Below are 24,354 nucleotides of genomic sequence, written 5' to 3'. Positions count from 1 at the left end.
CTGAGTCACTGTAGCAAACGCTTGTTAATTGGCTTATCGGTCCTGGCTCCACCACGCTGGTTTCCAGTCCCACAAAACTGGGTAGGCCAACTAGTTTTAGCGTTTGGCTACATTCATGGAATATGAGAGCTAGGATTAGCTCCAAAAATCACGTGCTCCCCTCCCTCCGTGTAGAGAGGCACCTTTTAAAACGAAGGACCCAGTTCCCCATCCCGGATCTCCAGACCTTCCACCCTCGCGGGTGCGCGCTAGCCCCAGGCCCCTCTACCAGCCCCCGGAGCAGCGAACGCAGCACGCGCGCGCCTCTCCCGCGCTGGGCCGGAGCAGGCAGCCTGCCAGCTGGTCCCGGCGTGCCGCGCGCCGCGCACGTGACCCCGCCCCCTGCCATTGGTCCGGGCGCGAGGGGCGGAGCCGCCGCGGAGCAAGCGAGCCAAGCGCGGCCTCATTAGACCACGGGTTGCAGCCGGAGCGGCTGGGAGGTTCGCGCGTTTCTCAGGGTTCGGTCGGAGGCGGGGAGGCCGGAGCTGCGGGCGTAGGGACCTGGCGGCTCCTGAAGCGCACGCGGGCGGGCGGCAGGTGTGCGCGGCATCCCTGTCACGTGGCCGAAGAGCCTGGGGCGCGCGGACCCTGGCAGGGGGCGGGGCGCACGCAGGCCACACCCACTTCAGGCTCCCACCCGGTCGCTGGAGAGGGGCCAAGGCCTCTGGAAGGTCCAACCTGGAGGGTGGTTCAAAGGGGTGTTGGGCACCCTCAAATTAGGGGAAAATTGGGGAGTACGCTCTCCTTCCCCAGGGTGGAGGTTACTACAATCATAAGCGGGGAGCCGGTGCCCCTGAGGAAGGAGACCCTGAGGGAGATAAGATGGAGGGGCTCGGGATTCCGGGGAGCCCCAAGTCCCAGCTTGAAACGGTGGAGTCCGGGCAAATGAGCTCTGAGGACGGCTTCTGGGCCTGGCCGTGACCCAGATTGCAGTGAGAGTTCCCGCAGGCCCCGCCTCTTTCTGGGCCTCGTGTCTCCCAGCCGCCGGGCCGGGTGCGAGGCCTTACCCCTCTGATCTGCTGCAGGATGGGCCTCTCCGCTGCGGCCCCGTTGTGGGGTCCCCCGGGGCTGCTCCTGGCCATCGCCCTGCACCCAGCGCTGTCGGTGCCCCCGCGCCGGGACTACTGCGTGCTGGGCGCTGGGCCCGCGGGCCTGCAGATGGCCTACTTCCTGCAGCGCGCTGGACGCGACTACGCAGTGTTCGAGCGGGCCCCGCGGCCCGGCAGCTTCTTCACACGCTACCCGCGGCACCGCAAGCTCATCAGCATCAACAAGCGGTACACGGGCAAGGCTAACGCCGAGTTCAACCTCCGCCACGACTGGAACTCTCTGCTCAGCCACGACCCCCGGCTGCTCTTCAGACACTACTCGCGTGCCTACTTCCCCGACGCCCGCGACATGGTGCGCTACCTGGGTGACTTCGCGGACACGCTGGGGCTCCGTGTCCAGTACAACACCACCATCGCCCACGTCACTCTGGACAAGGACCGACAGGCCTGGAATGGCCACTACTTCATCCTAACTGACCAGAAGGGCCAGGTGCATCAGTGCAGGTAAGGCCGGTGCCAGAGCTCACCTGCGGAAGCTGGGACCTTCCCCACACGAACCACACACCTTGATTGGCCAGTAGGTATGGGAGGAATGGACGAAAAAGGGTATTTCGCTTTTTTTTTTTTTTAAGACGGAGTCTCACTCTGTCGCCCAGGCTGGAGTGCAATGGCACGAGGTCAGCTCACTGCAACCTCCGCCTCTCTAGTTCAAGCGATTCTCCTGCCTCAGCCTCCCCAGTAGCTGGGATTACAGGCAAGCACCACCACACCCGGCTAATTTTTTTATATTTTTGGTGGAGATGAGATTTCACGACGTTGGCCAGGCTGGTCTCGAACTCCTGACCTCAGGAGATCCACCCACCTCAGCCTCCCCAAATGCTGGGATTACAGGTATGAGCCACCGCACCCGGCCTTCAATTCTATTTTTGAAACCACTCTGTGATCAAAGCATTCTTCTGCAAGCCGGCAGGATCCAAGTCCCCAGCTGCCCTCCCCTGGATGGCGATCCTCACCAATGGAAGGAGCAGGACTTTGGAATCAAGCCTATCTGTGTTTAGACTCTGGCTCTGCTGCTTTTAGGAGCTCTCAAGCCATGGGCCTGCAGGGCCTGTGCCTCCTCACCTGTAAAGCAGGCCACATACCACCTCCAGGTTGCTTGGAGGAGTCAGAAAGATGGTGCACAGATACACTTAGTACAGGGCCTGGTACAGAATTACTGCTCAGTGGATAGATGTATCTGTCAGAGGACTCAGAAAGGGGAAAGTAGAATGTCAGGTTTCATTTCATCACCAGCAGTCATACCTGGTCTGACTGCTATGTGCAAAGTTAGGTGAATTCTCCATTTCTCATACTGTCATCTTCTCCTCTCTCACAGGGCAAATTTAACCCCCAGTACAGTGCTAGGGAAAATACTGTGAGCTCAGGGAGAGGCAAGGGCAGAGCCTCTCAAGTGCACTGGGATGAGGGCGTAAACAGATGAATGAATGAAAAATGAATGAATGAATGTCCTATTTTCTTTTAGGGGCCGGCGGTTGGAGCCAGGCAGGTGGGTGGGTGGGTCCAGGGAGTGGTTTTCACTTAGTGGTCTTATAGCTAAGAGACTAAGCCATCTTTCCTCTGTCCCCGCCTGCAGCGTCCTCTTTGTAGCCACTGGTTTATCAGTCCCCAACCAGGTTGACTTCCCTGGCTCCGAATATGCAGAGGGTTACGAGTCCGTGTCCGTGGACCCTGAGGACTTTGTAGGCCAGAATGTGCTGATCCTGGGTCGTGGGAACTCGGCCTTTGAGACAGCAGAGAACATCTTGGGTGTCACAAACTTTATCCATATGCTCAGCCGCTCCCGGGTCCGTCTGTCCTGGGCCACCCACTACGTTGGAGACCTCAGGTAGGCCACATCCCCGCATGTGTGTTCTGTGCTGGGAGCCCAGAGTGTGGAAAGAGCCTCCCCAACCCTCCCCTGCCCTTCCTGACCCCAGCTGCACTGCCCAGCTTTCCTCTGAGTCTCTCTCCCCTGCATTCTCTGTGGGCTCAGAGCCATCAACAATGGCCTGCTGGATACCTACCAGCTCAAGTCCCTGGACGGGCTGCTCGAGTCTGACCTGACGGATCTGGCCATCCTGAAGGACAGCAAAGGCAAGTTCCATGTCACCCCGAAATTCTTCCTGGAAGAAGCCAACACCAACCAGAGTGCCGACTCCATCACCCTCCCCCAGGACGACAATGACAACTTTGCCATGCGCGTGCCCTATGACCGGGTAATCCGCTGCCTGGGCTGGAACTTTGACTTCTCCATTTTCAATAAGTGAGTTCCATGCGGAAGGAGGTGGGCTCTCCTAGCAAACCCTCCTGACCCCTCCCTAGGGGAACAGGGTGGCTGTTCAGTAGGCTGGCGACAGAGCTCTCAGGACAGCACCCAAAGAATGGATGTGAGTGCTGCCTGATTTCCCTCCAGGACATGAGCTCTGACCATTGAGGGTCCCAGGTGGCCCTGAGGCCCTTGGTCCTGGAGCAACACCAGCAGATCTTCATCAGCATTGGGAGCCTCCACCTGTGAGTTGGAAAGGCCGGCTCAGAGAGAATACAGAGGGGAATTTGCTCGAAGGCAATATAGCGTAGTGGCTGAGAGCACAGGTGCCGGAATTGTCCTGAGATTCTCTGCTTGCCAAATCTGTGACCTCGGCGGAAGTTATTTAACCACGCTGTGGCCCAGTATTCTCATGTCTAAAATGGGATTCAAAGTTTGTTTCTCATATGGTTATTGCGAGGATTAACATAAGAATATGCTTGGAGGCTGGGTGCGGTGGCTCACACCTGTAATCCCAGCACTTAGGGAGGCCGAGACAGGTGGATCACTTGAGGTTAGGAGTTCGAGACCAGCCTGGCCAACATGGTGAAACCCCATCTCTACTAAAAATACAAAAATTTAACCAAGCGTGGTGGTGGGTGCCTGTAATCCCAGCTACTCAGGAGGCTGAGGTGGGAGAATTGCTGGAACCTGGGAAGCAGAAGTTGCAGTGAGCCGAGATCACACCACTGCACTCCAGCCTGGGTGACGAGACTCTTATCTCAAAAAAAAAAAAAAAGAAAGAAGAATGTGTGCAGAGGCCAGGTGCAGTGGCTCATGGTCTCACACCTATAATCCCAGCACTTTGGGAGGCCAAGGCAGGCATACTACTTCAGCTCAGGAGTTCAAGACTAGCCTGGACAACATGGTGAAACCCCACCTCTACAAAAAATACAAAAATTAGCCAGGTGTGTTGGCACATGCCTGTGGTCCCAGCTACTCAGGAGGCCAAGGTGGGAGGACTACTTGAGCCCAGGAGGTCGAGGCTGTGGTGAACTAAGATCATGCCTCTGCATTCCAGCCTGGGCAACAGAGTGAGACCCTGTCTCAAAAAAAAAAAGAGATGGCTGGTCACAGTAGCTCATGCTGTAATCCCAGCACTTTGGGAGGCTGAGGTGGGCGGATCACAAGGTTAGGAGTTCAAGACCAGCCTGACCAATGTAGCGAAACCCCGTCTCTACCAAAAATACAAAAAATTAGCCAGGCATGGTGGCACGTGCCGGTAATCCCAGCTACTCGGGAGGCTGAGGCAAGAGAATCGCCTGAACCTGGGAGGTGGAGGTTGCAGTGAGCCGAGATCGCGCCATTGTGGACTCCAGCCCAGGCGACAGTGCAAGATCTCCATCTCAAAAACAAAAAAAGAGAGAGGAGAGAAGGAAGGAGAGAGAGGGGAGAAAGAAAGGAAAGAAAGTGCTGGGAGCTAGGTGCAGTGATGAGTACCTAGCTACTCAGGAGGCTGAGGCAGGAGGATCACTGGAGCCCAGGAGGTCAAGGCTACAGTGTGCTATGATCATGCCTGTGAATAGCTGCTGCACTCCAACCTGGGCAACATAATGAGACCCTATCTCTTAAAATAAAGAAAGTACTTGGCATGTATTATGTGCTCAATAAAATGTTAGTTGCTTAAGTTATTTATCATTGTATTTTGAAGGGCTATTTTATGAAGCCTAGATTTTAAACATTGCTGCCGACTACCTCGGGAGGTTTGGTATCAAAGCAGCATCCAGTCTTTCACTTGTCTTCTGACCAGGGTGCAGAAAGACAAAGGAGAAGCTGGTGTGCCTGTCCAGACCCTCCTTTCCATCGGCCTCCCAAAGTGCTAGGATTACAGGCGTGAGCCACTGTGCCTGGCCTGACTTCATTGTTTGTTTGTTTGTTTGTTTGTTTGAGACAGAGTCTTACTCTGTTGCCCAGGCTGGAGTGCAATGGCATAATCTCGGCTCACTGCAACCTCTGCCTCCTAGGTTCAAGCGATTCTCCTGCCTCAGTCTCCTGAGTAGCTGAGATTACAGCCATTGCACCACCACCCCCAGCTAACTCTTTTTGTATTTTTTCATAGCGACAGGGTTTCACTGTGTTGGCCAGGCTGGTCTCGAACTCCTGACCTTGTGACTCGCCCGCCTCGGCCTACCAAAGTGCTGGGATTACAGGCGTGAGCCACCTCGCCTGGCCGACTTCATCTCTTAAATGGAGATGATAATACCCACCTCCTGGGGTCATGGTGAGGTTTAAATGAGACGAGAAATCTAAGGCACTCAGTGCCAGTAATAAGTGCCACTGTAATAAGTGCCTCCTGGCTGGGTGCAGTGGCTCGCGCTTGTAATCCCAGCACTTTGGGAGGCCAAGGCAGACAGATCACCTAAGGTCAGGACATCGAGACCAGGCTGGCTAACGTGGTGAAACCTGGTCTCTACTAAAAATACAAAAATTAGCTGGGCATGGTGGCAGGAGCCTATAATCCCAGCTACTCGGGAGGCTCAGGCAGGATAATAGTTTGAACCCAGGAGGCAGAGGTTGCAGTGAGCCGAGATCACGCCATTGTACTCTAACCTGGGCGACAAGAGCGAAACTCCATCTCAAAACTAACTAAATAAATAAGTGCCTCTTACATAGCAGCTATTTTCATGAACAGCCCTTTCCACTGACAGGTCCCTCAGACTTAACTCGGGAAATGCATTCGGCAAGAAGTACCCGCTGATTCGAGCTAGCTACGAATCCAAAGGAAGCCGGGGTCTGTTTATCCTGGGTACTGCCAGCCACTCGGTGGACTACCGGAAATCTGCTGGGGGCTTCATCCACGGATTCCGATACACAGGTGAGCCCAGCTGAGAAGGCAGAACTGTCCCCAGACGGAACCACTCTCAGCATCCCAGGGTTTATAAATCTACTCCTATGTCCAGAAGCATTAGGGGATTGCTTGTCAGTAGCTCATTGTCATAAATTGTCTTGGGGAAGTGACAACAGGTTTTTGTGGTCTGACGACATGTTTAGGAAAGTATCAGATAAAGTGTAAAAGTCCACGCCTGTAGTCCTAGCTACTTGGGAGGCTGAGGCAGGAGGATCCCTTGAGTCCAGGAAGTCAAGGTTGCAGTGAGCCATGATGATACCACTGCACTCCAGCCTGGGTGACAGAGCGAGACTTGGTCTCAAAAATAAAATAAAATTAAGTGTAGGCCAGGTGCAATGGCTCACGCCTGTAATCCTAGCACTTTGGGAGGCCAAGGCAGGTGGATTGCTTCAGGCCAGGAGTTCAAGACCAGCCTGGGCAACACGGCGAAACCCTGTCTCTACTAAAAATACAAAAATTAGCCAGGTGTGGTGGCGTGCGCCTGCAGTCCCAGCTACTCGGGAGGCTGAGGCAGGAGAATCACTTGAACCCAGGAGGTGGAGGTTGCGGTGAGCTGAGATCGCACCATTGCACTCCAGCCTGGGCAACAAGAGCAAAACTCCATCTCAAAAAAAAAAAAAAAAATGTAATTGGATTATATCAGTTCTTTTTCAAAACTCTCAGTACCAAGGGTATAAATTTTCTGCCAACTTGAGAATGTTTACAAAGAAAATACTAAAATATCTTTTAAAAACATAATTCTATTTATTGCACTAAAATAATCCCCAACCAAAAATTGATACTTGTGATTTTAGGAGTAAATGGGAAATAAAAAGGAAGTGAGAGAGATGAATTCACGCATGTTGGGTGACTTCAGTGGGCTGAGCACTGAACACACGACCCTGGCAGGGCCGCCAGCACCCCGAAAGGTGGGTGTGAAATCTCCATTTTCCTCAAGAGTGTAAAACTCTGAGGCTCAGAGTTTTGGTGATTTTCTCACCATTATGGGAATTAAACTCCAAGGCCCAGGAGCTTTCCTGAAAGACACTTTCTACAAAGGTCTTCTCTTCTTTCATAGAAAGCAAACTGGTGCCCTTTCTGTGGAGAGGAGTCTAAAATGTTAGATGTGGCCAGGCACGGTGGGTCACACCTGTCATCCCAGCACTTTGGTAGACTGAGGTGGGTGGATCACCTGAGGGCAGGAGTTCGAGACCAGCCTGGCCAGTATGGTGAAATCCCACCTCTACTTAAAATACAAAATTAGCCGGGCATGGTGGCGGGCGCCTGTAATCCCAACTACTCGGGATGCTGAGGCAAGAGAATCACTTGAACCTTGGAGGTGGAGGTTGCAGTGAGCCAAGCCCACACCATTGCACTCCAGCCTGGGCAAAAAGAGTGAAACTCTGTCTCAAAAATAAATAAATAAATAAAAATTAGATGTTCCTGCTCCTGTGGTTAACCTTCTGAGAAGGACAGGGTGTTGGTTGAAATTCACTCAGTGAGGCATACAGTATTCAGTTAGGTGGTTAGGTGAGTCTATTTGAAAGAATGGAGTCATAATCTTACAGCTGAGCTTTAAAAAATTAGTATTATTATTTTTTTTGAGACAGCGTCTCTTCCTGTTTCCCATGCTGGAGTACAATGGCGCCATCTCGGCTCACTGCAGCCTCGACTTCCCAGACTCAAGCCATCCTCCCACCTCAGCCTTCTGAGTGGCTGGGACTTCAGGCGTGCACCACCACACCCAGCTAATTTTGTTGTTTTTATTTTTGTGTGGTAGAGACAAGTTTTCGCCATGTTGCCCAGGCTGGTCTCAAACTCCCAAGCTCAAGCGATCCACCCACCTCAGCCTCCCAAAGTGTTGGGATTACAGGCATGAGCCACCATGCCTAGCCTGAGCATCAAAAATGTGAAAATGTAGGGAATTACGGGGAGTAATCTTTATATTCTGCCACTCAAAGACATTCAATATTTATATTTCTTTTTTCTTTTTAAAGACAGTAAGGCAGGCTGGGCGTAGTGGCTCATGCCTATAATCCCAGCATTTTGGGAGGCTGAGGCTGGCAGATCAGCTTAGGTCAGAAGTTCGAGACCAGCCTGACCAACATGGTGAAACCCCATCTCTACTAAAAATACAAAAATTAGCCAGGCTTGTAATCCCTACTACTTGGGAGGCTGAGGCAGGAGAATCACTTCAATCCAGGAAGCAGAGGTTGCAGTGAGCCAAGATCGTGCCACTGCGCTCCAGCCTGGGCATCAGAGTGAGACTCTGTCTCAAAAATCATAATACAAATGAAGACGGTAAGGTGGACTTTATTCCAGGTTAGAGGACTACAATAATAAGTGTAGGGACCACTGCAGAGGGGTCTTACAGTACGGGCAAAGGATTGGACTCAATTCTGGGAGTCGGTTCCTCCTGGAACCCAGGAGGCGGAGGTCGCGGTGAGCCGAGATCGCACCACTGCACTCCAGCCTGGGCAACAGAGCGAGACCCTGTCTCAAAAAAATAAAATAAAAAATATTTAAAAAAAGAACTTAGAGACAGATGGATTTAGGCTGTGAAAGAGAGGGCGAAATCAAAGATTTCTGTAGGCGCGTCTCTGATGGAAACAGAGCTGTGAAGGGGGGGAGGTTTCTGGGGAAGGCTCCGTGTTGGACTTGACGTTCCTTGTGTGAGGTGGGGCCGGTGGGACTCCCACGTGCAGATGGCCTGAAGCAGGGGCAGATGGACTCTGGCCTGGAGACCAACTCCAGCTGTGCTCACTCCTTTGCCTGTTGTCTTGGCCGCTTTTACACTAGGGGCAGAATTGAGCAGCATCACTGAGTCGTGTATGACCCACAAAGCAGAGAATATGGATTGTCTGGCCCTTTCCAGAAAATACCTGCTGGCCCTGCTCTAAAGGCAGCTGCCATCTCCTCCCCTCATGTGTTCACCACCTAGGCGTTTGCGCTGGGCCATGGAGACCAGTGTGTATGGCGTTCTCAGGGGTCAATGAGGCCTGGGCATCCCTCCCAGTGACCAGAGATAAAATGGTAAGTGCAGCGTGCCGTTCCTCCCTCTGGCTGTTCCAGTGCGTGCTGTTCACCGGCTCCTGGAGCACCGCCACCACAGCGTCACCTGGCCCGCCACTGAGCTCCCCATCACACAGCTGACCAGCTCCATCGTGCGGCGCGTGAATGAGGCTTCTGGGCTCTACCAGATGTTCGGTGTGCTGGCCGATGTCATCCTGTTGAAGGAGTGAGTAGCCCGTCCCCACCCTACTCCCCTCGGCCCAGCTTTCCCGACGTGCTGCATAGCGCTTCTCTTCCTATTCCAGGTGTGAGGTGCCCAGTTCTTTCCTAAGATGAAGGCTGCTGTGGGGAACATGCCTGTTCTGGGGAAAAACAATGACATTAACTCTACAGACAGTCCTGTGAGTGGCCACGGGCACATTAGTGAGCCTCTCTGAGCCCTTCTTCCTCATCTGCAAAATGGGGATAATTGTGCCTACCTTGCAGCAGTAAAGGAAGGAGTAAAGGTCACTTGTGGAAAGTGTTTGGCATCACGTGGATGAGCAGTAGTCAGAGGCAGCCACGTGGATCTCAGAGCTCCCTCAGGCCAGGGCCTTGCCGGCCACCATCGTCAGAGTCAATTTAGTGATAAGCAGCAGATCCCAGAGGATGGACAGTTCCTGAGAAGGAAACGGTGCAGAGCACAGAGGGGTGAGGGGCGGGGGGAGACAGGTGGCAGGGAGAAGCAAGGGAGCAACCTTCAGTCAGAGGGAACAGCCCGATCCAAAGGCAGGGCGTGCTATAGCACACCAAGTTCAGGGACATGCAGGTAGTGCAGCCGCTTTCTGCACAAAACCCTCGCATCACCCTCCATGCCCCTGCCCCTCTTTTTTTTTTCTTGAGACAGTCTCGCTCTGTCATCCAGGCTGGAGTGCAGTGGTGCGATCTCTGCTCGCTGCAACATCTGCCTCCTGGGTTCAAGCACTTCTCCTGCCTCAGCCTCCTAAGTAGCTGGGATTACAGGCACCCACCACCATGCCTGGCTAATTTTTTTTTTTGACTCAGAGTCTCACTATGTCTTGCCCAGGCTGGAGTGCAGTGGTGCGATCTTGGCTCACTGCAGCCCACCTCCCAGGTTCAAGCGATTCTCGTGTCTCAGCCTCCCGAGTAGCTGGGATTACAGGCCCATGCCACCACACCTGGCTAATTTTGTATTTTTAGTAGAGACTAGGTTTCACCATGTTGGCTAGGCTGGTCTCAAACTCCTGACCTCAGGTGATCCACCCGCCTTGGTCTCCCAAAGTGCTGAGATTACAGGCGTGAGTCAGCACGCCTGGCACCCCTGTCTCAACACCCCACATGCAAACCATGGGCAAGTCTTGTCACCTCTGCCTTCAGATGATGTCTGGAGCCCAACCAGCTCTCACCTGCTCTACCACCACCACCTCGGTCCCGATCACCAGGCTGTATCACCTGCACCCATACAACAGCCGCCCCACTTGGCCTGGCGTCTGTTCTCAGCACAGTAACCAGAGTGGTCCTTAGAAACCTGAGGCATGCTGATCCCAGCTCTGCTCAGTCCTCCCAAGCAACCAGCAGTGTCACCTCTCGGGCCAGACGACTCCTCACGTCTCGTCATGGGAGGCGCAGCCCTCCTTGACCTCTCAAGGCCTCCGGCCCCCTCTCCTGCCCTCTGCCTGCTGTTCACTCCCCTCAGCCACGTCGGCCTCTTCTGTTCCTTGAACACAAAGTGCTCACATACTCCTCAGGGCTTTTTCCTGACTGTTCTCTCTGCCTGGGACACTCTTTCCCCAGATATCCCATTCAGGTTACATGGAATTTTCTGGTCTCTACCCCACATGTGCGTGAGAGCTGAGCTGAAAAAGTAATGTTAAGTGAGGGGTGTGCTGCTTGATTGACGCTCCTTAGAGGGGGAGATACACACGCACACACACATGCTCACCCCCGGGCTGCACCCCTCACCTCTGCCACAGCACTGAGGGCCTCCCCCGCGTTGCTGTTCTCCCAGGAATTCCACGGCCTTTGAGTACCTGGAGGAGTTCCCCATACAGATGCTGGCCCAGCTGGAGACACTCACAGGGAGGAAGGCAAAGCACGGGCTCTTCGTCATCAACATGGAATATGGCAGAAATTTCTCTGGCCCCGACAAGGACGTCTTCTTTGATGACCGGTCTGTGGGGCACACAGAAGATGCCTGGCAGTCTAACTTTCTTCATCCTGTCATCTACTACTATAGATACCTCCCCACCGGTGAGCAGGTCTCTGCCCTTCCCCAACCTGTGGGCTCCTCAGACCTCACCGTCTGCAAGGTTGTCACCCACCCTGAAACCTTCACACACATGCTCAGCTGACAGGTGGGATGGCTGCGGGACTCTGCCTAGAGACCACTTGGGCAGAAGGTCCGAGAATGATGAACGATGCTTCCAGATTCTGACACATACCGTGACTGGCACAGGCCATGCGGGGGGTGTCGTGCTCTCCGCCAGGCACTGTGTAGTAAGAGGGACACGGCCCTGCTGCAGGTCTCCAGAGGCGGCTGACTGTGGTGGGGCGGGAGGGGTCTGAAGAGTAGAGGGAACTGGAGCTGGTTAACACAGTACAGAGAAACTGGGCAAAATCCCTAGGCCTGTCATTTTGTCACTGTGTGACCTTGGACCATTACTTAACCTCTCTGAGCCTCAACCTCCCCTCTGTAAAATGGGGATTACAACAGTACCTTTCTTGTAGGGTTCCATGAGGTTAAACCTGACAGTGTACACAGAATGCCAGCCCACTGCAGGCACAGAGTAGCTACCAATAAGTGAACAACCTCGGGAACGCACCCCCTGCTTCAGAGCTTGAAGGGCAGTCAGGTAGAAGAGGGTGGTTTAAACAGGGGTTGTTCCCAAAGGCAGAAGTCGTGTCAGCAGGTAGCAGTGACGGGTGCAGGTCTGTGGTCAGTATAAGGAGGCACTAAGAGGCTGGGCATGGTGGCTCATGACTGTAATCCCAGCACTTTGAGAGACCAAGGCAAGCGGATTATAAGGTCAGGAGTTCAAGACCAGCCTGGCCAAAATGGTGAAACCCCATCTCTAAAAAAACATGAAAAAAATGCAAAAATTAGCTGGGCATGGTGGCACATGCCTGTAATCCCAGCTATTCAGGAGGCTGAGGCAGGAGAATTGCTTGAACCGGGATCCGGGAGGCAGAGGTTGCAGTGAGCCGAGATTGTACCACTGCACTCCAGCCTGGGCTACAGAGCAAGACTCTGTCTCAAAAAAAACAAACAAACAAACAAAAAGGCCGGGCGCGGTCGCTCACGCCTGTAATCCCAGCATTTTGGGAGGCCGAGGCGGGCGGATCACGAGGTCAGGAGGTCGAGACCATCCTGGCCGACATAGTGAAACCCCGTCTCTAATAAAAATACAAAAATTAGCCAGCGTGGTGGCGTGCGCCTGTAGTCCCAGCTACTAGGGAGGCTGAGGCAGGAGAATCGCTTGAACCCAGGAGGCAGAGGCTGCAGTGAGCCAAGATTGTGCCACTGCACTCTAGCCTGGGAGACAGAGCGAGACTCTGTCTCAAAAAAAAAGAAAAAGGAGGCACTAAGAGTTAAAGCTGTTCAGTGGGGGAATTGGTCACCTCCAAATTCAGGTTTCCCAGAATAGCGACGGCCAAGTCTTGACTCGATGGCCATCTGACTGGAACACCACAGAAGGGAGCCCACACCAGGGAGAAGCTGAACTAGATGAGTGCTGAGACCCCTCGCCTCTATCTGAGTCTTCTCAGAGAAAGGCCAGTTTGAAAGCAGCCACAGCCAGGCGCAGTGGCTCATGCCTGTAATCCCAGCACTTTGGGAGGCTGAGGCGGGTGGGTCACCTGAGGTCAGGAGTTTGAGACCAGCCTGGCCAACATGGTAGAGACTAGAAACCCCATCTCTACGAAAAATGTAAAATATGAGCTCGGTGTGGTGGCGGGCACCTGTAATCCCAGCTACTCTGGAGGCAGAGGCACAAGAATCGCTTGAACCCAGGAGGTAGAGGTTGCGGTGAGCCTAAATTGTGCCACTGCATGACAGCCTGGGCAATAGAGCGAGACTGTCTCCAACAAATAATAATACAAAATAAAAAGCAGCCACAGTAGATCTCAGTCCATGTGAGTCTTAGGGAAACGCCAGCCTCACGTTGTTAGCTTCAGCACTGCCTTCCGAAACCACAAGGGAAAAGCCTAGTTCCTCTTCCTCATGGCAGCCTTTCAAATATCTGCAGGTGGCTCTTGAACAGTCTGACCACAGCCCAGCATAGGAGGCTGTCGGGAAAGCCGAGCACGAGTGAACGAGGGAAGTGTTTGGGCTGTGTGGGATCCGTGCTGTGTCGGCCCGAGGAGGGGAAGCCCAGCCTCACAGCTCTGACATGGCCCCCTCTCTCCTCCCCACAGAACAGGAGGTGAGGTTCCGCCCTGCACACTGGCCCCTGCCTCGGCCCACGGCCATCCATCACATCGTGGAAGACTTCTTAACAGACTGGACTGCCCCGATCGGGCACATCCTACCTCTGAGGCGCTTCCTGGAGAACTGTTTGGACACCGATTTGCGAAGCTTCTATGCAGGTAACTTAAGCTCCCAGAAAGACAAAGGGTCTGAGCTCCAGGTTGAAGAAAGGTCACAGAGACCCAAGACCCGTGGAGTTTCAGGACCCATATCTGGAAATCCAAACCCCAGACTACTGTTCCCGACAATGCCGTGGGTTAAATTACAACTCACCTAAAAATAATGGATAATATGTCTTCTTTTTTTTTTTTTTGAGATGGAGTCTCGCTCTGTTGCCCAGGCTGGAGTGTAGTGGCGCAATCTCAGCTCACTACAACCTCCGCCTCCCGGGTTCAAGCGATTCTCCTGCCTCAGCCTCCCAAGAAGCTGGGACTACAGGCACATGCCACCATGCCCAACTAATTTTTTTATTTTTTAGTAGAGATGGGGTTTCACCATATTGGCCAGGCTGGTCTCGAACTGACCTCGTGATCCGCCTGCCTCAGCCTGCTGAAGTGTTGGGATTACAAGTGTGAGCCACCGCACCCAGCTGATAATATGTCTTTTCAAAAGGATTAGCAGGGCCAGGCGCCATGGGAAGGCGCCAGGGCCAGGTATGGGTGGGAAGACAGAGCTGGAGCAGGATGGGAGGCCTGTTTAGAGACACTCCAATAAAGCTTGGATCTCAGTAGGGAAGCTGGGAGCCAAAACCCTCCAAAGGAGGAGATAGATGACATGCATGGTTTTGGCCCTAGATAGAGTGGGAGAGAAAAATCTCTGAAAATATTCAACCAGTAGGCCCTGCTTATGTAAATTTGGGGCCAAACTTCATGAGATCATTGAGCTATAGAAATCACAGAAGCAAATGCACACCTTCTCAAGAAATACACTTTTAGGCCAGGTGCAGTGGCTCACGCCTGTAATCTCAACACTTTGGGAGGCCGAGGTGGGTGGATCACCTGAGGTCAGGAGTTCGAGACCAGCCCTGGCCAACATGGTGAAACCCCATTTCTACTAAAAGTAGAAAAATTAGCTGGGGGCAGTGGTGGGTGCCTGTAATCCCAGCTACCTACTCGGGAGGCTGAGGCAGGAGAATCGCTTGAACCCGGAAGGCGGATGTTGCAGTGACCCGAGATCATGCCACTGCACTCCAGCCTGGGCAACAGAGCGAGACTCCATCTCAAAACCAACAACAACAAAAATGCCAGGGTGTGTGAGGGAGTGAATTCCCACCCTGAGTTGTGGGTCCCACCAATGCATTGTCCCAGGCCCTTTAGCCTCCTGTCTCCCACTTTCTAGACACTGTTTGACTGTACAGGCCACTGTGTGCTGCTGCCTTGGACTGGAGAGAATCCGCCCAGCAGGCGGCCAGCTGGCATAGTGGCAGCCGTCCCTCTGTTACTGTAGCTGATGTGCAGCTGTTAGTGCTGGCCCCAGATTCTGCTGAGCATCTGAGCCCCCTGCAGAAGGGATGATGTTGTCAGAAGGTGGTGCCTGCCAAACAGCCACCTTGCTGCCCTCCCAGTCTTCCCGCTGTCCTCTTCCTCATCTGCTCTCTTACCCGCTTGGAGAGGCTTGCCATGGCCTGGCCTCCCAGGGGCCTCCATGCTAAGAGTCAGAAATAAACAGGAAGTCATATTTCTGGAGCACCTTTCAGCCTGGTCACCCATGGAAGCCTCACGACATCCTTTGTGCTGTGCCCATTTTTCACTTGAGATAGAGGGGCTCAGGGAGGCAAGAAGGCTCGCTCAGAGTTACAGAAGGACTCCAGCCCATTCCTGACACTCTGTCTGCCCTTGTCTCTAACTCCCTCAGAAGGCTGAGCCCATATCTGTGTCAGCTCTTCTGTTTGTTTAAAGTCTTATAAGTACTTGGCTAAATGACTTTTTCTCACTGTATTAGTCTGTTCTCACATTGCTATAAAGAAATACCTGAGACTGTAATTTATAAAGAAACAGGTTTAATTGGCTCACAGTTCTGCAGGCTGTATGGACGCATGGCAGCATCTATTTCTGGATGCTGGATCACGCCTGTAATCCCAGCACTTTGGGAGGCCGAGAAAGGCAGATAGCTTGAGGTCAGGAGTTCAAGACAAGCCAGGCCAACATGGTGAAACCCTCTCCCTACTTAAAAAACACAAAAATTAGCTGAGCGTGGTGGCGGGCACCTGTAGTCTCAGCTACTGGGGAGGCTGAGGCAGGAGAATCACTTGAACCCAGAAGGCAGAGGTTGTAGTGAGCTGGGATCGTGCCACTGTACTCCAGCCTGCCTGGGCAACAGAGGGAGACTCTGCCTCAAGAAAAAAAAAGAAAAAGAAACCACTCCTGTGATGCAGTCACCTCCCAGCAGCCCCACCTCCAGCATTAGAGATTGCATTTCAACATGAGATTTGGGCGGGGACACAGACCCAAACTATGTCACCCGCTTTCCCTACCTTCATTCTCATTCCCACGAGGAACTCCCAGACCTAGCGGTTGTTCCTTTCAGTAGCTTCTCTCTTTGCATGGCTTCTTTTGGTTGTTTCTTCATATTTCTTTTTCTTTCTTTTTTTTTTCGAGACAGAGTCTCTGTCACCCAGGCTGGAGTGCAGTGGCACGATCTTGGCTCACTGCAACGTCCGCCTCCTGGATTCGAGTGATTCTCCTGCCTCAGCCTCCCGAGTAGCTGGGATTACAGGTGTTTGTCACTACGCCTGGCTAATTTTTGTATTTTTACTAGAGACGGGGTTTCTTTCTCATTATGTTGGCCAGGCTGGTCTCGAAGTCCTAACCTCAGGCGATCCACCGGCCTCGGCCTCCCAGAGTTGTCGGATTAAGGCGTGAGCCACCACGCCCGGCCGTTTCTTCATATTTCTACATGATAAGTATCCACAGCTATCTTATGATTGACCAAATTTGATTCATGCACCAGCTTTCTGTTGTGGGACAGATGAGGATATACCCGTTTTTCTTTATCCCCCACACTGTTTAGATCAGAACTTTGCACATGGTATTTGCAACTCAAATGTTGTTGAGGGACTGCGTCTTTGCAGGCAGATCTGAGCTCACAGTGGAACTGACCACTGAGTTCCCAGCCGCACCAGGCCGAGGGTCTGCTCATGAAGGTCGGAGCCCCGCCCCCAGTGTGGTTGCCTGCAGAGCCCGGTGCTCAGCCCTGATGTCTGGGAGCTGAGGCATTGCTGTGGTTTGCTTTTATTTTGGAGCCTTGTTCTTCCAGAGTGTCAAGGCAGCCCCCTGCCCTGGAGCCTCGTGGAGGGTCATGATTCATGACCTACTCAGGTTGGACGTGAGATGCCCAGAAAGGTCAGCTCCCAGTTTCAAGGGATGGAAGATACCAGGCAAGGCCTGCAGTGAAGCCCCCACACCTGGCATTGGCAGCTCCCCTTTCTGCACCCCTCCCCACATGTCCCAGCCTGGCTCATTCTCCTCATTTTGCTTTTGTGTAGAGTCCTGCTTCCTGTTCGCCCTCACGCGCCAGAAGTTGCCACCCTTTTGCCAGCAGGGGTACCTGAGGATGCAGGGACTCGTGAGTACCGAGAGCCTTTGGCAGCACAGAGTGGAGAGCAGGCTCCTGCGGGACTATGCCCCCACAGGCAGGCGCCTGGAGGACAGCAGCCAGCAGCTTGGCGACCAAGAGCCACTAGGTTCCCCCCTGGCTCCAGGGCCTCTGGCTCAGTCCGTCGATAGCAACAAAGAGGAGCTCTGACTGTCCCTTCCTAAGCTGTGGGCACAGTGGCCAGGCCTCCCCACCTAGGCCCATGGTCAGTCCCTCTTTCCCCGCAACCTCACACTCCCGCCAATGCGTGATTGCCAAAGACCACTCAGATCATGGCAGTGTCTGCAGCAAAGCCACCAGATGGCACGTGAGGGCTGAAAGTCGGGGATGCGGTGGTCTCCTCCCTCCTGTCAGGGGGCAGAAGGGCATCCTCTGCCAGGTGGGAGCTGCCTTCCCCAGCCCAGTTTGTCTGCAATGGAGCTGTCGCTGAGCCCCAGGCCAGCCCAGTTCTGCCCCGTCTCAAGTGCTCCTCTTCCTTCCAAGCCCCTCCTCAGATGGGCCTGCATCCCGCCTGTGGAGTGCTTCACAGGGGAAACCCATCCGCATCTTAAGAGTTTGTGGCAAGCGCTTTAAAACAAAAGCTCTGATATCCTCAACAACCACAATGGGCAGGTGGGATTGTTGCCCCAGATGACTGCTGAAGACACCAGCTGTGGGATGTCAAGTAATTCCAGGGACCCCCAGCTGGGAGTCCCCGTCTGTGTCACTTGCCACACACTGCCTCAACCTCCCCGCCCCATTTTCAGCAGGGTTTGGGCTTAGCTACAGAGCCCAAGAGGGTCAGCCCTGCTTATCATCATAGGCCCAGCAGGCTGATCTCGAGCAGCGATAGGACAGCTCCCTGCAAAGCCATCTTAGCAACTTTCTCACTGAGAAGCAGGATTCAGAGCTGCTCTCCCCAGTTGCACCCCCTGACTCATCTTCCAGCTGGCTCTTCTCTCCCATCCTACTCCCTTCTGTCTCCCTGCCCTCTGCCATCCTGAACCATGCCTTGCTTCTAACCTGCCTGGTCAAGTTTTGTGAAACTTATCCTGCTGTCTCGGGCTGGCACCCATATGTGCTCACCATGTGTAAGGTGACATTTCCAAATGCCTTTGTGTGATAATGATGATGAATTTGGTTCCTAGTCTCTTCTTCATTGCCCTTCCTCACCAGCAATCTGCACTTTCCCATCAGGCGTCTTAGTCTCATTTGTAAGTGCATAAGATAATCACAGTGATTTTTCAAAGCCCAGGATCATAAGTGATTGCTTTTTCACTGGTTCTTACTAACTCTTCATGTATCCACTCAGAATTCCAAGGACAATCCCAGCACTCTGGGAGGCCCAGGCAGGTGGATCACCTGAGGTCAGGAGTTTGAGACCAGCCTGACCAACATGGAGAAACCCTATCTCTACTAAAAATACAAAACTAGCCAGGCGTGGTAGCACATGTCTATAATCCCAGCTACTGGAGAGGCTGAGGCAGGAGAATCACTTAAACCCGGGAGGCAGAGGTTGCAGTGAGCCGAGATTGCGCCATTGCACTCCAGCCTAGGTAACAAGAGGGAAACTCCATCTCAAAAAATAAGTTAATTAAATTAAATTAAAATAAAACATGCGCTGGGTACAGTTGCTTACACCTGTAATCCCAGCACTTTGGGAGGCCAAAGTGGGCCGATCACCTGAGCTCAGGAATTCGAGACCAGCCTGGCCAACATAGCAAAACCTTGTCTCTACTAACGGTAAAAAAAATTAGCTGGGCATGGTGGAGCATGCCTGTCATCCCAGCTACTTGGGAAGCTGAGGCAGGAGAATTGCTTGAACCTGGGAGGTGGAGGTTGCAGTGAGCAGAGACCGAGCCACTGTACTCCAGCCTAGGTGACAAAGCAAGACCCACAGTAAAGCCCCCACACCCCATCTCAAAAAAATAAAAAATAAAAAAGAACAAAGTATGCTACAACAAAAGTGAAAAGAGAAAAAGAATTCCAAGAACCCGGGCTTTCTGGATCCAAAGCTCTTTCATGGGGACGTCCTCTTCCCCTCTTGGCTTGGTCCAGACTTTTTCTTTTTCTTTTTTTTTTTTTTTGCAATGGATTTCGCTCTTGTCACCCAGGCTGGAGTGCAATGGCACGATGTCGGCTCACTGCAACTTCTGCCTCCCGGGTCTAAACAATTCTCTTCCCTCAACCTCCCAAGTAGCTGGGATTACAAGCGCCTGCCACCACGCCCAGCTAATTTTTGTATTTTTAGTAGAGACAGGGTTTCACCACATTGGCCAGGCTGGTCTCGAACTCCTGACCTCAGGTGATCCACCTGTCTTGGCCTCCTAAAGTGTTGGGATTACAGGCATGAGCCACCACGCTCGGCCCAGTCCAGACTTTTTAACTACCTGGCCCCACTGCAGACACAGTTCCCTCTAGTCCTTCCCAGAGTTACAAGAAGAGAACTCCAGTAGCCTTATTCTGTCAGGGACGAATTGTTTACCCCATGATAATGTAGGATATCATAAATTCTTCTTCAAAGGTTTTAGCCTGTAATTTGTTAAGTACATTGAGTTCTGAGATCCTCTCCAAAGAACCAATGTATCAGTATGTTCAGCTCACCTGTTCTTTGTTCTTCATTTTAACTTTTAATTTCCTCATTCTTTATGTCTCCTTGCCCCTAGTTTCAGTAAACAATCCCCTCCTAGCCTCTGTCACCTGCTCTGACCTGAGTCACCTTTAGTCACCTGGTCCGTAACCATCTTTCCTGTCTAAACTTCTCACCCCACCACTCTGGCTTATACCCCTGCTCTCTTTAAAATAGCCAGTCAGAATTAGCTTAGATTGTGCGGTCCAACCCTAGCCCATAGGGGAACAACACAGCAGTAGGGGGTACCTGCATCAGGGATAAGAACCCATTCCCCTCCCTTGTTCCGGTGTGCTCTCGCCATTGCACCATCCATGAGACGCACTCTTGTATAGAAGTAAAATTGCCTTGCTGAGAAAATGTATGTTTGAGTGCTATTTCTTTTGTGGCACTGAAAATTTATTTCTAACAAATTTGGGGTCTCATTTGGGATTCCCATCCTCCTCTGAGGAGGGTCTAGACCTCTCCCATGAGGAGGCACGTCCCACTGCCTTGTTGCGGTGGCCACAGGGGTAAGGAATCGAGACCAACCAGTGTGACGAATAAACCTATACTCTCAGCAAGGCAGAAAGAAACGGGCTGGCGACCTGGGGGAAAGGATCCTCATGTACCACAGCGACCAAGTAAGTGTGCAGAGACCAAGCTAAGAAACATCGCAGGGGTGACAAAGTATTTCCTTGGTGGTCAGGATATTCTGGGGGTTGAAAGTGTGCATGAATGCAAGGAGCCTCCAGCAGGTGGGGCTAAAGGATAGGCGAGACATCTCCAACAGGGGAGATTGAGCTTAACCAGGACCCAAGATGGGAAATGCCCCAAGTAAGGTAAGAGATAAAAAGGAGAAAGCTAGCAACAGTAATATTCCCCCAGGCCTAATGTTAAAATGTTAGAAGGATAATGAAAGGACCAAAAACAAAAGCAGCTGCTGTCCCAGACCCTTCTCCTATCTCTGATGTCCCCTTTCTTACAACCCTGCCTCTTGAGAATCGTCCCAAGAGCCCACTCACTACCGACCTAAGTACCTTTCCCTTAAAGGACTTCAACGTGAGATAGAGCAATGTAAAAAAGATATTCAGAATTTCCCTTTCCCCTCTTCTCGGGGGAAGAAAGAGACATGATCCATAGAGCTGCTATGGGAGCCTAGGAACACGAACACCCTCCTGGCCAAAACGTTCCTACAGCAGATCAAAAAACTCCCACCCAAGACCCCCAGTGGGACAATAACAACGCAGCCCACCGAGAAAATATGCAGGACCTTAAGGAATTGATAATAAAGGGGATTAAAGCATCAGTACCCCGAGGCTGGGCGCAGTGGCTCACGCCTGTAATCCCAGCACTTTGGGAGGCCGAGGCAGGCAGATCACAAGGTCAGGAGATCGAGACCATCCTGGCCAACACAGTGAAACCCCGTCTCTACTAAAAAATACAAAAAAATTAGCTGGGCATAGTGGCAGGCGCCTTTAGTCCCAGCTACTCAGGAGGCTGAGGCAGGAGAATGGCGTGAACCCAGAAGGCGGAGCTTGCAGTGAGCCGAGATCACGCCACTGCACTCCAGCACTCTAGCCTGAGCAACAGAGCAAGGCTCCATCTCAAAAAAAAAAAAAAAATTGGTACCCCGAACTCAGTATCTTACCCGAATATTTGATATACAGCAAGGGAAAGATGAAGGGCCTATAGAATTTTTAGATAGATTAAAGGAACAAATGAGAAAATACACTGGTCTAGGTCTCAAGGATCCTCTTGGGCAGGGAATGTTAAAACTTCATTTTGTCACTAACAGTTGGCCAGATATTAACAAGAAATTACAAAAGATAGAGAACTGGAAAGATAAACCTATAGAAGAGCTTCTAAGAGAAGCCCAAAAGGTATATATAAGAAAAGATGATGAAAAACAAAAGCAGAAGGCAAAAATTCTGCTGTCTACCATACAACAAAGTACCCAGGGGGCCAGAACCTATAAAGAACCTAGACTGAGGGCTGGGCGCGGCGGCTCACGCCTGTAATCCCAGCACTTTGGGAGGCCAAGGCGAGCGGATCACGAGGTCAGGAGACCAAGACCATCCTGGCTAACACGGTGAAACCCCGTCTCTACTAAAAAAAAGCAGCCGGGCATGGTGGTGGGCGCCTGTAGTCCCAGCTACTCGGGAGGCTGAGGCAGGAGAATGGCGTGAACCCAGGAGGCGGAGGTTGCAGTGAGCCAAGATCGCGCCACTACACTCCAGCCTGGGCGACAGAGCGAGACTCCGTCTCAAAAAAAAAAAAAAAAAAAAAAAAAGAACCTAGACCCCCACTCTCCAGGCAATATATAGAGTATGAAAGAGTAAAGCCAGGAGACTCAAAAGTAAAGAAAAAAAAAACTTAGAGGAGAGAGAAAGACTGACAGAACAGACAGAGTCAAAGAGAGAGAGACAGGCAAAAAGGGAAAGAGAGAGGCAGAGAGAAAGGCAAAGGGAGAGAGTCAAAGAGGAAGAGAGAGGCAGAGAGAGAGGCAAAGAGAAAGAGTGAGAGAGAAAAAGAGGCAGAGAGGGAGAGGCAAAGGGAGAGAAAGAGGACAAAATAAATGTTTCAGATTAAAAATAGGTCACTTCAAAAGAAAATGTCCCAAATGGGAAAAAGAACAAAAGTCATATATAAAAGCAAATCAGCTAATATTAAATTTCTGTTTATTCCAGAGGCAGGAACAAACCTATTAGAGAGATTTAATGCTAAAATTTGGCTTAGGCCTCTATATTAATCAGGGAAGATTCCTCCCCTCCCTAAACTTGCTCCCCACCACAGACAAAGAACTCATTCATCCCAAGGTATGGTCAAAAGACGAGAATCGAGGAAAGTTACAGATTACTCAGTTTCATGTTAAATTACAAACCCCTGGGGAAGTAGTAAAGAGAAAGCAATGTATCCTATTCCTTTCAAAGCCGAGGTAAATTTAAAACCTATAATTGATAATTGAAGGTCTTCTCCGTGATGGATTTCTTAAACCCTGTATGTCTCCCTATAACATTCCAATACTGCCTGTAAAGACGCCAGACAGGTCATACCGGTTAGTGCAAGACCTTAGAGCTATTTTTTTTTTTTTTTTTTTTGAGACAGAGTCTTGCTCTTTCGCCCAGGCCAGAGTGCAGTGGCACTATCTCGGCTCACTGCAAGCTCCGCCTCCCGGGTTCACGCCATTCTCCTGCCCAGCCTCCCGAGTAGCTGGGGCTACAGGCGTGTACCACCACGCTTGGCTAATTTTTGTATTTTTAGTAGAGATGGGGTTTCACCATGTTGGCCAGGCTGGTCTCGAACTCCTGACCTCAAGTGAACTGCCCGCCTTGGCCTCCCAAAGTGCTGGGATTACAGGTGTGAGCCACCACGCCTGGCACCATGTTTGTTTTTTTAAAAAGCAGATCACCACCCACTAAATTAATTTTGCAAACCCACTGACGTCCATATCCTGCAGTTTGAAAAACACTGCAATAAATATTGGTAGGAGGTAGAAGTTTTACCCTTAGCCCAGGCTGCCAGTCCTGGCTTCCTTCCCTTTGCCTCTCAGCTGTGCCCTGAGCCTGCTTGTGACTAAGCCAGACCCAGGCCAGCTCAGCTCTAGCTGGACAGAGGAGCCACCATGTAGCTGAGAGCCCTTTTGTAGCGCGCCGAGAGCTCAGCCTTCTCTGTGTCTCTCAGGCTTTCCCTGCAGGAGTCATCAGGCAGCAATGATGTGGATTCTGTCTCTACTGCAACCCTCAGCCCAGCTATGAGAAAGGCATTCTTCCCATTGCTCAGATGAGAAGCCTGAGGCCGATCAGGGTGAAGTGACTATGGCATAAGGACAAACAGGACTGGTCCGCCTGTGAAATTCAGAATGTGAATTAGGCAGGAAAATTGGCTCTCTAGAAAATACTGTGGAAGTGCTGAATAGGATTGATAGGTGGCTGTGGAAAAGAAAGTGCTAGAGACACAGAAAACCGATACAAAAATGGGCAGGGCGGCCAGGCGCGGTGGCTCACGCCTGTTATCCCAGCACTTTGGGAAGCCGAGGCGAGCGATAACTTAAGGTCAGGAGTTCGAGACCAGCCTGGCCAACATGGTGAAATATAAAATTTCTGTACCAAAAATATAAAAAATTAGCCAGGTGTGGTGGTGCTCGCCTGTAATCCCAAGTACTTGGGGGGCTGAGGCAGGAGAATCCCTTGAACCCTGGAGGTGGAGGTTGCGGTGAGCCAAGATCATGCCACTGCACTCCAGCCTAGCTACAGAGCAAGACTCCGTCTCAAAAAAAAAAAAAAAAAGGCTGGGTGCAGTGGCTCACGCCTGTAATTCCAGCACTTTGGGAGGCCCAGGTGGGCAGATCATGAGGTCAATAGATCGAGACCATCCTAGCCAACATGGTGAAACTCCGTCTCTACTAAAAATATAAAAATTAGCTAGGCGTGGTGA

General features: G+C 52.0%; 1 protein-coding gene and 1 long non-coding RNA gene across 7 annotated transcripts, besides 1 other annotated feature; one reads left to right on the top strand and one right to left on the bottom strand.

Annotated features, from left to right (window-relative positions):
• Positions 202-701: a silencer, noted in NCBI's record as "silent region_13670". NCBI's record gives its function as "represses an Ori minimal core promoter by ATAC-STARR-seq in GM12878 lymphoblastoid cells {active_cell/tissue: GM12878}" and the evidence as "EXISTENCE:reporter gene assay evidence [ECO:0000049][PMID:35858748]".
• Positions 448-20,298, top strand: FOXRED2 (FAD dependent oxidoreductase domain containing 2). Of its 6 annotated transcripts, none has more exons than NM_001102371.2 (9): positions 448-479; positions 1,065-1,592; positions 2,722-2,973; positions 3,121-3,390; positions 6,081-6,247; positions 9,332-9,497; positions 11,280-11,521; positions 13,685-13,855; positions 17,221-20,298. In NM_001102371.2, the coding sequence occupies exons 2-9, from the start codon at positions 1,066-1,068 to the stop codon at positions 17,478-17,480; spliced, it is 2,055 nt and encodes a 684-aa protein (NP_001095841.1). In that variant the 5' UTR covers positions 448-479; position 1,065; the 3' UTR covers positions 17,481-20,298. The 6 variants fall into 6 exon arrangements, with proteins under 6 accessions (NP_001095841.1, NP_079231.4, NP_001349971.1 ...); NM_024955.6 differs by having other exon boundaries at positions 448-576; NM_001363042.2 differs by lacking the exon at positions 3,121-3,390.
• LOC105373020 (uncharacterized) lies at positions 9,489-11,463 on the bottom strand. The gene is made up of 3 exons (XR_938226.3): positions 11,234-11,463; positions 9,751-9,930; positions 9,489-9,633 (listed from the first exon to the last, which is right to left on the bottom strand). It is a non-coding gene; the product is annotated as an uncharacterized LOC105373020 (long non-coding RNA).

Source organism: Homo sapiens, chromosome 22, assembly GCF_000001405.40.
Source record: "Homo sapiens chromosome 22, GRCh38.p14 Primary Assembly".
NCBI lineage: Eukaryota > Metazoa > Chordata > Mammalia > Primates > Hominidae > Homo > Homo sapiens.
The sequence above is the reverse complement of the archived record's forward strand: the minus strand, read 5'-3'. Positions and strand labels throughout refer to the sequence as shown.